A 12,552-nucleotide genomic window follows, 5' to 3' on the forward strand; every position below is an offset into this window, starting at 1 on the left:
CAATGTGAGATTTGCCTGGGGACACAGATCCAAATCATGTCACCTTGCTATGCCAGGGCCTGCCTCGTCTTGTCTCCTTCTTTGTAACAGTCTTCCCTGGCTTTTCATGGGACTAGTTCCTTCTCCTCCTTTGGGTTTTAGCTGGGGTCACCTCTTGGGAGGTCTTTTCTCTCTTTTTTTTTTTGAGACGGAGTCTCACTCTGTCACCCAGGCTGGAGTGCAATGGCGTGATCTCAGCTCACTGCAACCTCTGCCTCCCGGGTTCAAGCATTCCCTGCCTCAGCCTCCCAAGTAGCTGCCCGCCACCACTCCTGGCTAATTTTTGTATTTTTAGTAGAGACAGGGTTTCACCATCTTGGCCAGGCTGATCTTGAACTCCTGACCTCGTGATCCACCTGCCTCGGACTCCCAAGGTGCTGGGATTACAGGCTTGAGCCACTGCGCCCCGCCCTGGGAGGTCTTTTCTAATCACCCTCCTCAACCATCCTAGTTGCAAGTTAATCTCAATCGTTTTATTTTCTTTCAACGATTCATTATCATCTGGAATTATTTTGCTTATTGTCCTTCAACAACTCATCACAATTATCTTGTAAAATTATCTCATTTATCAGCCTGCTCCAACCACAACGTAAGTTCCCGTGTCAGTCTGGTTTCCTCGTATATCTTCGTATATTCCCCAGGATTAAACTAATCCAGGGGAACCTCTGGGGTCTGTGGATAGAGTTTGGGCTTTACGAATTTCCATAGAAAAATAAAACCCGCATCTTTATTTTCACTAATCCCTAACTGAAGTTTAGTATTTCCTCTGTCATGAATGTAGGCAACAAACCACAGTCGTATGAACTGGATTTGGGACTGTGTCACACGCTACAGGTTTATAGATATCTTGAAATATCATTTATGCTGATCACTACTATGAGGTTATAGTATTTGTTAGACCTATTGCTAGATCTTGTTATTTACTGCAATAAAGAAATATGTAAGGCCAGGTGCGGTGGCTCAAGTCTGTAATCTCAGCACTTTGGGAGGCCGAGGTGGGTGGATCACCTGAGGACAGAAGCTTGCGACGAGCCTGGCCAACATAGTGAAACCCTGTCTCTTCTAAAAATACAAAAATTAGCTGGGGGTGGTGGTGAGTGCCCATAATTCCAGCTACTTCGGAGGCTGAGGCAAGATAATTGTTTGAACCTGGGAGGCAGAGGTTGCAGTGAGCTGAGCCGAGACCGCTCCATTGCACTCCGGCCTGGGTGACAAGAGCAACACTCCGTCTCAAAAAAAAAAAAGGAAGTTACTATATCACAATTTAAAAATACCTTGGTAACTGTTTCAATACATTTGGCTTCTTTTATAAGCCTCTCTGTTTATTTTATGCATTTATAAAGCCTTAGCCTGAATAAAGGGTCCGTAAGTTTTCACCTGGTTACTAATAGGATTCATGGTACAAAACAGCTTAACTACCTTGGTGGCCTAGAACAGTGTTTGGCACATACTAGGAGCTTGATAAAAATGTTTTTGAGTTGGCTGGATGAAGGGAGGTGGAGAAGGAAAGACCTAGGCTGAGGAAACTGGGGAAAATTCAAAAGCAGAGAATTTTGTCCTGGAAACAGAAAAACTGGTGTGGTTTGTACTTAGAAATCCAGTGAGAGGTTGGGCGCGGTGGCTTATGCCTATAATCTCAGCACTTTGGGAGGCCGAGGTGGGTGGATCACCTGAGGTTGGGAGTTTGAGACCAGCCTGGCCAGCATGGTGAAACCCCGTCTCTACTAAAAATACAAAATTAGCTGGGCATGGTGGCACGCACCTGTAATCCCAGCTACTCGGGAGGCTGAGGCAAGAGAATCGCTTGAACCTGGGAGGTGGAGGTTGCAGTAAGCTGAGATTGCACCACTGCACTCCAGCCTGGGCAATAAGAGCAAAACTCCGTCTTAAAAAAAAAAAAAAGAAAACAGAAAAAAAGAAAAGAAATCCAGTGAGAGTGTTGTAAGCTAAAACTAACCAGGTGGCTGATTGGACTTTGTCCTGACACTGTGGGAAACAATGGAAGCCATCAGGCAGGGACAGGAATGATTACAATTGTGTTTTAAAAAATGTATTTGGCTGCCAAGAGGAGAGAAAAATGAGAGGGCCAATGTGGATACCAATTAAGAGGCTACTGTGGGCGGGTTGAAACAGGCTGGTGGCAGTGGAGGTGGGAAGAAGTAGATGAATTTGAGAGCAATTTTGGAGATGAAATAGACACAACTTGAAAGCTGATTAGACGTAGGGGGTAAGGGAAAACAGGAAGGACAGAATGACTGCGGTTTTCTTGCCTGAATTGCTGAGAGGATAGTGGGTAGCTTACTCAGAAGGGACACGGGGGGAAGGAGCAGGGAGGTATGAGGTAGCCTGAAACTTCAGTATCAGTGTTATTATTTTGTTCTCAATCTGGTTTTGCAAAAATGTCTTGGAACTCAAATGATGGAGACTGTAGTTTTACTTCTCGTTCTGCCACTAACTTGCTATCTCAGGCACTGCTATGGTCTGTTTATACTGGTCCCTGCCAAATTCATAGGTTGAAATCTTCACCTTCCGCCTCATCCCCTTACAGAGGTGGAGGCTTTGGGAGGTGAGGTTCTGCCCTCATGATGGGATTAATGCCCTTATAAAAGATGCCCCAGAGAGACCCTTCACTCTTTCTGCTGATGGGGTTGGATTATGAAGGCAGCTGTCTAGGAGGAAGCAGTTTCACTCCATCTGCTAGTGTCTTGAGCTTGGATTTCCTATTCTCCAGAACTGTGAAAAATAAATTTCTGTTGTTTGTAAGCATCCAGTCTGCAGTATTTTGTTATAGCAGCCTGAATAGACTGACAGGCACCTTTCTCAACTTTGTTTTCTCATCTGAACGATGGAGCTCCAGATCATGTCCTGCACACCTCACATGCTGGATCGAAACCCTCCTGCCCACCCTCCTTCCTCAGGTCAAGTAAGAAACCTTTGAGCATATGACGTTGCCAAAGGAGCCTCAAAGTTGGTGATTTTTGTCTGAGCCTTGAATTATAGCTTGGGTCTTATATGCGTACTAGGATGAAATTCGTTAGCTATCATTAACAATAAAGGTGAATTTTTTCATTATCATGTATCAGGCTGAAACTGCCATTGCAAAATTATAACTGAGACAGTGAAAGCGATCTGACCTAACCAACTTGATATTGCTTCTAACCTCCAAACTGTCCTTGTTCATTCCTGGGTGTAGGCTGAACTAACTTTGGGAGGAACTATAGTTTAAAACAAAGATGATAACAGCCCTTTCTCAGAACAAACCTCCTTTTTGCCTGGGGACTAGACTGCCTTTGTAGGACTAACAAATTAGCCACAAGATTAGAAATTATGGTTTAGGAGTCATGCAGCTGGAGGCTACAAGATTGTGACCCTCCCTAAACTGTTCCTGACATCAGTGCTTGAGATATTTTGCAGACTCTGCACTTGATGGATCAGCTGACATCACCTGGATCCATAAACTGGCTCATCTGATCTTGCGGTCCCCATTCAGGAACTGACTCACTGCAAGAGGACAGCTTCAACTCCCTATAATTTCATCTCTGACCCAAACAATCAGCACTCTCAACTCACCAGCCTTCCCCCACCCACCAAATTATCCTTCAAAACTCTGATCCCCAAATGATCAGGGAGACTGATTTGAATAATAATAAAACTCTGGTCTCCCACACAGCTGGCTCTGAGTGAATTACTGTTTCTCTATTGCAATTCCCCCATCTTGAGAAACTGGCTCTGTCTAGGTAGTAGGGAAGGTGAACCCATTGGGTGGTTACAAGGCATTCTGCTCAGTCAAGCACTCTGCTAAGTGCTTTACATGCTTTATTTATATTCTTCATTTTATTTCTCTATGACAACACTATGAGGTAGATATTATTATTATACCCAATTCACAGACGTTCAAGTAACTTCCCTCAAGTTACATAATTGTAGGTGGTAGTGTAGAGATTGGAACCTCAAGTCCAACTCTAGAATCTGTACTCTTAATTCTTACACATTCCTGCCTTCTTGGATTAATTATTCTGTTTTGGCCCAGGTGTCCATCAGGGTTCTCCTGTCCCCTGTGACTTAGATTGGATTGGAACATTCTTCCATTTCATATTCTGTGCAAAGTCCATGGCCTCCCTGATTTCTGTGAATTCAGGTGAGCTCCTATCATCATGGAAATCTTTGGCTTGGAGCTCCTGCTTCTGTGAAATTATTTCAGTTTCTGGCCCATCCTGCATGTGTCTTCCCCGATCTGTGCTCTGTCAGCCCAGCTGTGGAAACCAGTGTCTTTCCTTCATTTCTACCAAGACTTTCACTTGCATAAAGCCCTTATGTTTGTAACAGATTTTGCCAAAAGTCAAAAGATGGAGGGATTTACCATGCAGATAATGCACATTTTTTAAAACAAATTAGATTTATTTCTGTTTTTCTTTTCTTTCTTTCTTTCTCTTTTTTTTTTTTTTTTTTTTTTGAGATGGAATCTTGCTCTGTCGCCCAGGCTGGAGTGCAGTGGTGCAATCTCGGCTCACTGCAAACTCCACCTCCCAGGTTCAAGCAATTCTCCTGCCTTAGCCTCCTGAGTAGCTGGGACTACAGGCACCCGCCACCACGCCTGGCTAATTTTTGTATTTTTAGTAGAGATGGGGTTTCACCATGTTGGCCAAGATGGTCTCGATCTCTTGACCTTGTGATCCCCCTGCCTCAGCCTCCCAAAGTGCTGGGATTACAGGCTTGAGCCACTGTGCCCGGCCTTATCTCTGTTTTTCAAAAACTCCATAGTGATTTCTGCCATTGTGTTAGTTGAGATTTAGGCTAAGATGTTGAAACAATAATATCCCCCTCCCATTCCCAGCAACGTACAGTGGTTTTATCTCTCTCTCTCAGCCCAGAGCTTAACAGTCCAAGTGAGGGGAAGGTCTACTGCCCACAGTCACTCAAACCACTGTTCCTTCTATCTGGTGTGTCATCATCCCCTAGGAGTGGTTATGTCCTCATCTGCATGGTCAAAGCTGAGTCAAATCACATCCACAAACAGCCCATCAGAAGGGGAGAAAAGGAGGGAATGGAGGCCAAGGATTTCCTTTCTAAGGAAGAGGATGTAGACATCACTTCCATTCTCATTCCATTGTTGCAACATAGTCACATGATCACACTGGCTGCAATGCAGTCTGGGAAGTGGAGTCTTTCACAGAGCCATGGTGTGCCCCGCTGGAAAGCTTTTACTGTGCAGGAAGGGAAGAGAGGGTTTTCGGGGGCACAAAAATCCCTCTTTGCTTCAACCAACTGGATTCCGGGGTTTGCTTAATCTTGTACTTTCTCTTCATTTTCTCTTTCCACTCTAATTTTATCTCAGCTCTCTCCCTCTGCTTCTTGCCCCCGATTCATACTTATTTCCAAAACAGAATGGTTCTCTCAAATCTCAGGGTCTCACTTTCCATCCCAAATGACCTAGAAAGCTATTGTCCTAAACAAAGATATTTCACACTCAAATTGGGAGTCTGGCACCAGCTGTTAAGATATTTTTCGTATCTGGCTACATGGTGAAAATAAAGCAAGACACTATTTTAAGACACTTTTCCCAAAAACAATGAGTTAAAATTCACAGAAATCAATTGGTCTGTCATGTAAACATCCCAAATCTTAAGTGATTTAACAAGCTCTTAAGAAGCACAGGCTGTTTATTGCTTAAAATGAAATAATTTCACACTACAGCAGAGTGTACAATCTAGACTTCCTAGAAAAAGTTTCAGAGGGGGCAGCTGATACTTTTTTTGCCAGAAAAGTAGAAAAATCTTCATGAGTTCTACACTCTTTTCCCCCACCTTGCTAGAGGACACCTGCCCTTTGTTCAGTCAAGCCACACAACCATTTAAAGTTTATGCTAGGATCGGTGTAAGTCACGTCTGATTACATTTTATTGGGCAAAGCAAGTTGTGTGGACAAGCTCTACGTCAATGGAGTAGGAATGTCTAATTCTCCCACGTGGGGCCTGCAAGTAACAGGGCAAAGGATGTGAATGCACAATCTTCTTAGGGGGACACAGTGAACACTGGGGCACAGTAATCAATCTACCAATTGTAAAAGGAGGGACCAGGAATAGAGATTGAATCCAGTGCACAGAGATCTCTGAATGTTAAGCATTATAACTGGAATGTATTTAAAGGTTGGCCGGCACAGTGGCTCACGCCTGTAATCCCAGCACTTTGGGAGGCAGAGGCAGGTGGATCACTTAAGGTCAGTAGTTCAAGACTAGCCTGGCCAACATGGTGAAACCTTGTCTCTACTAAAAATACAAAAATTAGCTGGGCGTGGTGATGCTGGATGGTGATGTTATCAGAGGACTGCCAATTAAGAGCATGGCCTGCTCCACCTTTTGAGCCCATTGTTTGGGGAGGAAGTGTGAGGAGGTTGAATTAGTAAACCATTACAGATCAGCACTTTATTCCTCCCTCTACTCTATCCCCAGCTAACTGGACAATGGGGCAGGCCACTGCATTAGAGCTCACCAGAAAAACAGAACCAATAGGATCTATCTCCATCTCCACCTCCATCTCCACCTCTATCTCCACCTCTCTCTCTCTCTCTCTATCTCCATCTCCACCTCCATTTCTATCTCTATCCCTCTCCCTCTCCATTTCCACTCCCACCCCCACCCCCACCTCCATCTCCATCTCCATCTCCATCTCTATCTCTATCTCCCTCCACCTTCACCTCCATCTTCACTTCCACTTCCATCTCTGCCTCCATCTCCATCTCCATCTCCACTTCCATCTCCATTTCCATCTCTGCCTCCATCTTCATCTCCACCTCCATCTCTATCCCCACCTCTATTTCCATCTCCATCTCCATCTCTATCTGTCTCCATCTCCACCTCCACCTCCATTTCCATCTCCCTCTCTATCTCCACCCCCACCTCCATCTCCATCTCCACCTCCACTTCCATCTCCATTTCCATCTCTGCCTCTATCTCCATCTCCATCTCTGCCTCCATCTCCATTTCCATCTCTGCCTCCATCTCCACCTCAGTCTCCATCTCCACCTCCATCTCCATTTCCATCTCTGCCTCCATCTCCATCTCTGCCTCCGTCTACATCTCTGCCTCAATCTCCATCTCCATCTCTGCCTCCATCTCCATCTCCATCTCTGCCTCCATCTCCATCTCCATCTCTGCCTCCATCTCCATCTCCATTTCTGCCTCCATCTCCATCTCTGCCTCTATCTCCATCTCCATCTGTGCCTCCATCTCCACCTCTATCTCTGCCTCCATCTCCACCTCCATCTCCATCTCCATCTCTGCCTCCATCTCCACCTCCATCTCCATCTCCATCTCTGCCTCCATCTTCATCTCCATCTCTGCCTCCATCTCCATCTCCATCTCTGCCTCCATCTCCATCTCCATTTCTGCCTCCATCTCCATCTCCATCTGTGCCTCCATCTCCATCTCTGCCTCCATTTCCATCTCCACCTCCATCTCCATCTCTGCCTCCATCTCCATCTCTGCCTCCATCTCCATCTCCACCTCCATCTCCATCTCTGCCTCCATCTCCATCTCTGCCTACATCTCCATCTCTGCCTCCATCTCCATCTCCATCTCTGCCTACATCTCCATCTCCATCTCCATCTCTACCTCCATCTCCATCTCCATCTCTGCCTCAATCTCCATCTCTGCCTCCATCTCCATCTCTGCCTCCATTTCCATCTCTGCCTCCATCTCCATCTCCATTTCTGCCTCCATCTCCATCTCCATCTGTGCCTCCATCTCCATCTCTGCCTCCATTTCCATCTCCACCTCCATCTCCATCTCTGCCTCCATCTCCATCTCCATTTCTGCCTCCATCTCCATCTCTGCTTCCATCTCCATCTCCATCTCTGCCTCCATCTCCACCTCCATCTCTGCCTACGTCTCCACCTCCATCTCTGCCTCCAGCTCCACCTCCATCTCTGCCTCCATCTCCATCTCCATCTCTGCCTCCATCTCCATCTCCGCCTCCATCTCCATCTCCACCTCCATCTCCATCTCTGCCTCCATCTCCACCTCCATCTCCATCTCCATCTCTGCCTCCATCTCCATCTCCATCTCTACCACCATCTCCGTCTCCATTTCTGCCTCCATCTCCATCTCCGTCTCTGCTTCCATCTCCATCCCCATCTCTGACTCCATCTCCATCTCCATCTCTGCCTCCATCTCCACCTCCATCTCCATCTCCGTCTCTCGCCACCTCCACCTCCATTTCTATCTCCCTCTCTGTCTCCATCTCCACCTCCACCTCCATCTCCATCTGTCATCTATTCCCATCTCTCTATCATCTACCTATCAATTGATCCATATTAATTTTAAAGAATTGGCTCACATTTTAGGGAGTCTGGCAAATCCAAAGCTTGGGAGCAGGCTAGAAACACAGGAAGAGTTAATGTTTCAGTGCAAGTCTGAAGGCAGTTCGCAGACAGAATTCCCTCTTTCTCAAGGGAGTCAGTCTTTTTTCTCTTAAGGACTTCAACTGATCGAATGAGACCCACTCACATTACAGAGGGTAATCTGCTTTACTCAAAGTCCACACATTTAAATGTCAATCTTATCTAAAAAATACCTTCACAGCAACATCCAAACTGCTGTTTGACCAAATATCTGGGTACCATGGCCTAGCCAAGTGGACAGACAAAATTAACCACAGCTGCATACATTTTTTTTTTTAGGTGAGTTTTGCTCTTGTTGCCCAGGCTGGAGTGCAGTGGTGTGATCTCAACTCACTGCAACCTCTGCCTCATGGGTTCAAGCAATTCTCCTGCCTCAGCCTCCCAAGTAGCTGGGATTACAGGCACCTGCCATCATGCCTAGCTAATTTTGTATTTTTAGTAGAGATGGGGTTTCACCATGTTGGCCAGGCTGGTCTGGAACGCCTAACCTCAAGTGATCTGCCCACCTCGAGCCTCCCAAAGTGCTGGGATTACAGGTGTGGTCCATGGCAGCAGGCCAGCCAACCTAATTTTATCTACTGGGTTCTTGCATATAATTTTTTGTTTGTGGAAAGGATTCTGTGGGGAGGGAAAACATTTGAAGGGTTCTCTTTTGGTAGGTAACTGCTCATAGTTTACTGCATATACCATGTCATTACTCATCCTTTGATGTGGACTGAATGTTTATACCCCCCTAAAATTCATGCTTTGAAGGCCAGGTGTGGTGGCTCATGCCTGTAATTCTAGTACTTTGGGAGGCCGAGGCAGGTGGATCATCTGAGGTCAGGAGTTCGAGACCAGACTGGCCAACATGGTGAAACCTGTCTCTACTAAAAATACAGAAATTAACCAGGTGTGGTGGCATGCACCTGTAATCCCAGCTACTTGGGAGGCTGAGGCAGGAGAATGGCTTGAACCCAGGAGGCGGAGGTTGCAGTGAGCCAAGATTGTGCCATTGCACTCCAGCCTGGGCGACAAGAGTGAAACTCTGTCTCAAAAAAAAAAAAAAAAAAAAAAAAAAAAATTCATACTTTGAAATCCTAATCACAACATGATAATATTAGAGGGGGGATGCCTTCGGGAAGTAATTAGGTCATGAAAATGAAGCCCCATGGTGGGATTAGTGCCCTTTTAAAAAGAGGAAGAGACACCAGAGCTCTATCCCTGGGCTGCTGCCCTGGCACCCCTGCTGTATGAGAGTACAGCAAGAAGGTGGCTGTTTGCAAGCCAGAAAGTGAGCCTTCACCAGATACTGAGTCTACTGGCACCATAATCTTAGACTTCCAACCTTCAGAACTGTGAGAAATAAAAGCTGTTGTTTAAGCCACCCAGTCTATGCTATTTTGCCATAGGAGCCAGAGATGACTAAGAAATTTCTCAATAAATTCCACTTCTAAGAATTAGCCAATCCGAAGGCCAGGGTGGGCTAATATACTGTGCCTGTGCTCCTACTGAGCCACGTGGCTGAGCATTAATGTGTGGCTGGTGCTATACTAAATACTTGCTGTATTAAATTAAAAGGATGCTTGTTTATGTGTGTACTTTGCACATTAGGAAATTCCTCAAGACAGGGATGGTTTCTTTATTGCCTCAGCATCTGGTGTAGTTGGAGATCAAAACAGTGTGAATGTCCATGTATGCATCTGTGTGTGTGTGTGTGTGTGTGTGTGTGTGAGAGAGAGAGAGAGAGAGAGAGAGAGACAAAGAGAGAGAGAGAGACAAAGAGAAAGAGAGAAGAAAAGTGAATGGAACCAGTCCTTGGAAAAGGCAGCTATCCTCCCATGTCTATCTTGAGCACCACCACCCCTAAGAAACCTATCCTGACTGTTGTAGTCCTCACTGATCTCCATCTAACAAACCTCTACAACATCTTGCATCTGTACCACATGGCTGAGCGTTAATTTATCCTCCATCTTTATTTTCCTAGACCTAAAAATCCCACTGATTAAGTCAATTTAAAAAATATTGAACGTTAAAAACTAAATTTAGAGTGTTAAAAAGGTCCCAGAGATAACCACAGTAACTCTTTGGAGTAATTTCTTTCAGTCTCTCTTTTTTCGTTGTTTGTTTTGAAACAGGGTCTTGCTTTGTCACCCAGGCTGTAGTGCACCCTCAACCTCCTGGGCTCAAGTGATCCTCCTGCCTCAGCCTCCTGAGCAGCTGTGACTATAGGCATGCGCCACCACACCTGGCTAATTAAAAACAATTTTTTTTTTGTAGAGATGGCATCTTGTTATATTGCCCAAGCTGATCTCGAACTTTTGGGTTCAAGTGATCCTCCTGCCTTGGCCTCCTAAAATGCTGGGATTACAGGCTTGAGCCACAGTGCCTGGCCTTCAGTCTCTTTTTTATGTGTGTACATATATGTATGGATTATTGTCATAATTTATATTCATTGAGCATGCTCTATTCGATTGCTCTTAGTATTTGAAGTTCATTTACATATCAACACTTGTATGAGGAAAGTATTATTATCTCCACTTTAGACATGAAAAAACCAAGACAAAGAGAGTTTACATAATTTGTTCAAGTCACAGTTAGCAAGGTAGTAGAGCCCTGTGTGCCTGTGTGTTTGTCTGTATATATATGTGTATTAGTCTGTTTTCATACTGCTATAAAGAACTGCTCAAGACTGGGTAGTTTATAAGAAAAGAGGTTTAATTGGCTCAGTTCCACATGGCTGGGGAGGCCTCAGGAAACTTACAATCATGGCGGAAGAGGAAGGGGAAGCAAAGACTTTCTTTACAGGGTGGCAGGAAAGAGAGAGTGAGCAAGAGCAGGGAAAACTGCCTTATAAAACCATCAGATCTCATGAGAACTCACTCACTATCACAAGAACAGCATGGGGGAATCCACCTCTATGATCCAATCACCTCTCACCTGGTGATCTGGAGCTGCTGAGGCTTGCAATGTTCACTTCCACAAGTGTCAAGGGCCAATAACTTTGCTAACACTCCTGGAAAATGCTTGGTGTTGCCTGATGGTTTGCTGACAACCTCTGTGTTAGTATTTACAGCCTGACATGCTGCACCTGCCTAGGGATCAGGCTCTGCTTCTCTATTGGCCCCAGTCTTGCTTCAAAGAGGCCTTCAAGGGTCAATCCATGACAAAGCTTTCCTAGTTTTGATGGCTTAGGGAGCTAAAGAATACTTCTCAGGCTTATTCCAATGGAAGGCTACCTCGCCACTTTTTCCTCAGGAGAAAGCATAAAGTGACTCCTATTTCTAGTTCTTATTACAGTTATTTTTATTTCACTTACTTAATTTATTAAGAGAAAGGGTCTTGCTCTGTTGCCCATGCTAGGGCACAGTGCTGCCATCACGGCTTACTGCAGCCTCAAGTCTCTGGACAAAAGCAAGCCTCCTGCTTCAGCCTCCGGAGTAGCTGGGACCACAGGTGTGTGCCACCACGCGTAGCTAATTTTTTTAAAATTTTTTCTAGAGATGGGGTTCTCTCTATGTTGTTCAGGTGGTCTCAAACTCCTAGGCTCAAGCGATCCTCCTGCCTTGGCCTCCCAACATGTTGGGATTATAGGCATGAGCCACTGCACCCAGCCTATTTTAAAATAAATTAATAAAAATGAGTGTTCCAAGTATTTATTGCAGTATAACAAACGACTCCAAACTTAGAGGCAAACACAATAATTATTTCTTATTGATTGGGTTCAGGAAGTGGTTCTCACTTGGAGCCTCTCATGAGGTGCAGTCAGATCGTGACTGAGGCTGGGGTCATCCCAAAGTCTGGCTTGTTCATTAGGACTTCTCCTGGGACTGAGGACCAGAGCACCTATACCCAACCTCTCCATTGTCACGTGAGTTTCCTCCTACCATGGGAGGCAGAATTGAAAAGCAAGCATCCTGAGAGATAGCCAAGGTAAATATCCTTTGTAATGTAACTTTGGAAGTCACCCAGTGTCACTAAGCCCAGCCCATATTCAAGGGTAAGGGAATTGGACCGCACCTCTCATTGTGGGCAGAGTCAAAGAATTTTGAGACCGGTTTTAAAACCATTATATGTAGAATTTCTGCAAACTTTATGGTTCTCATCAAGGAGTGGGCATTCCTCAGTTCACTGCTC

This window comes from Homo sapiens, chromosome 4 (genome assembly GCF_000001405.40).
Source record: "Homo sapiens chromosome 4, GRCh38.p14 Primary Assembly".
Classification (NCBI taxonomy): domain Eukaryota; kingdom Metazoa; phylum Chordata; class Mammalia; order Primates; family Hominidae; genus Homo; species Homo sapiens.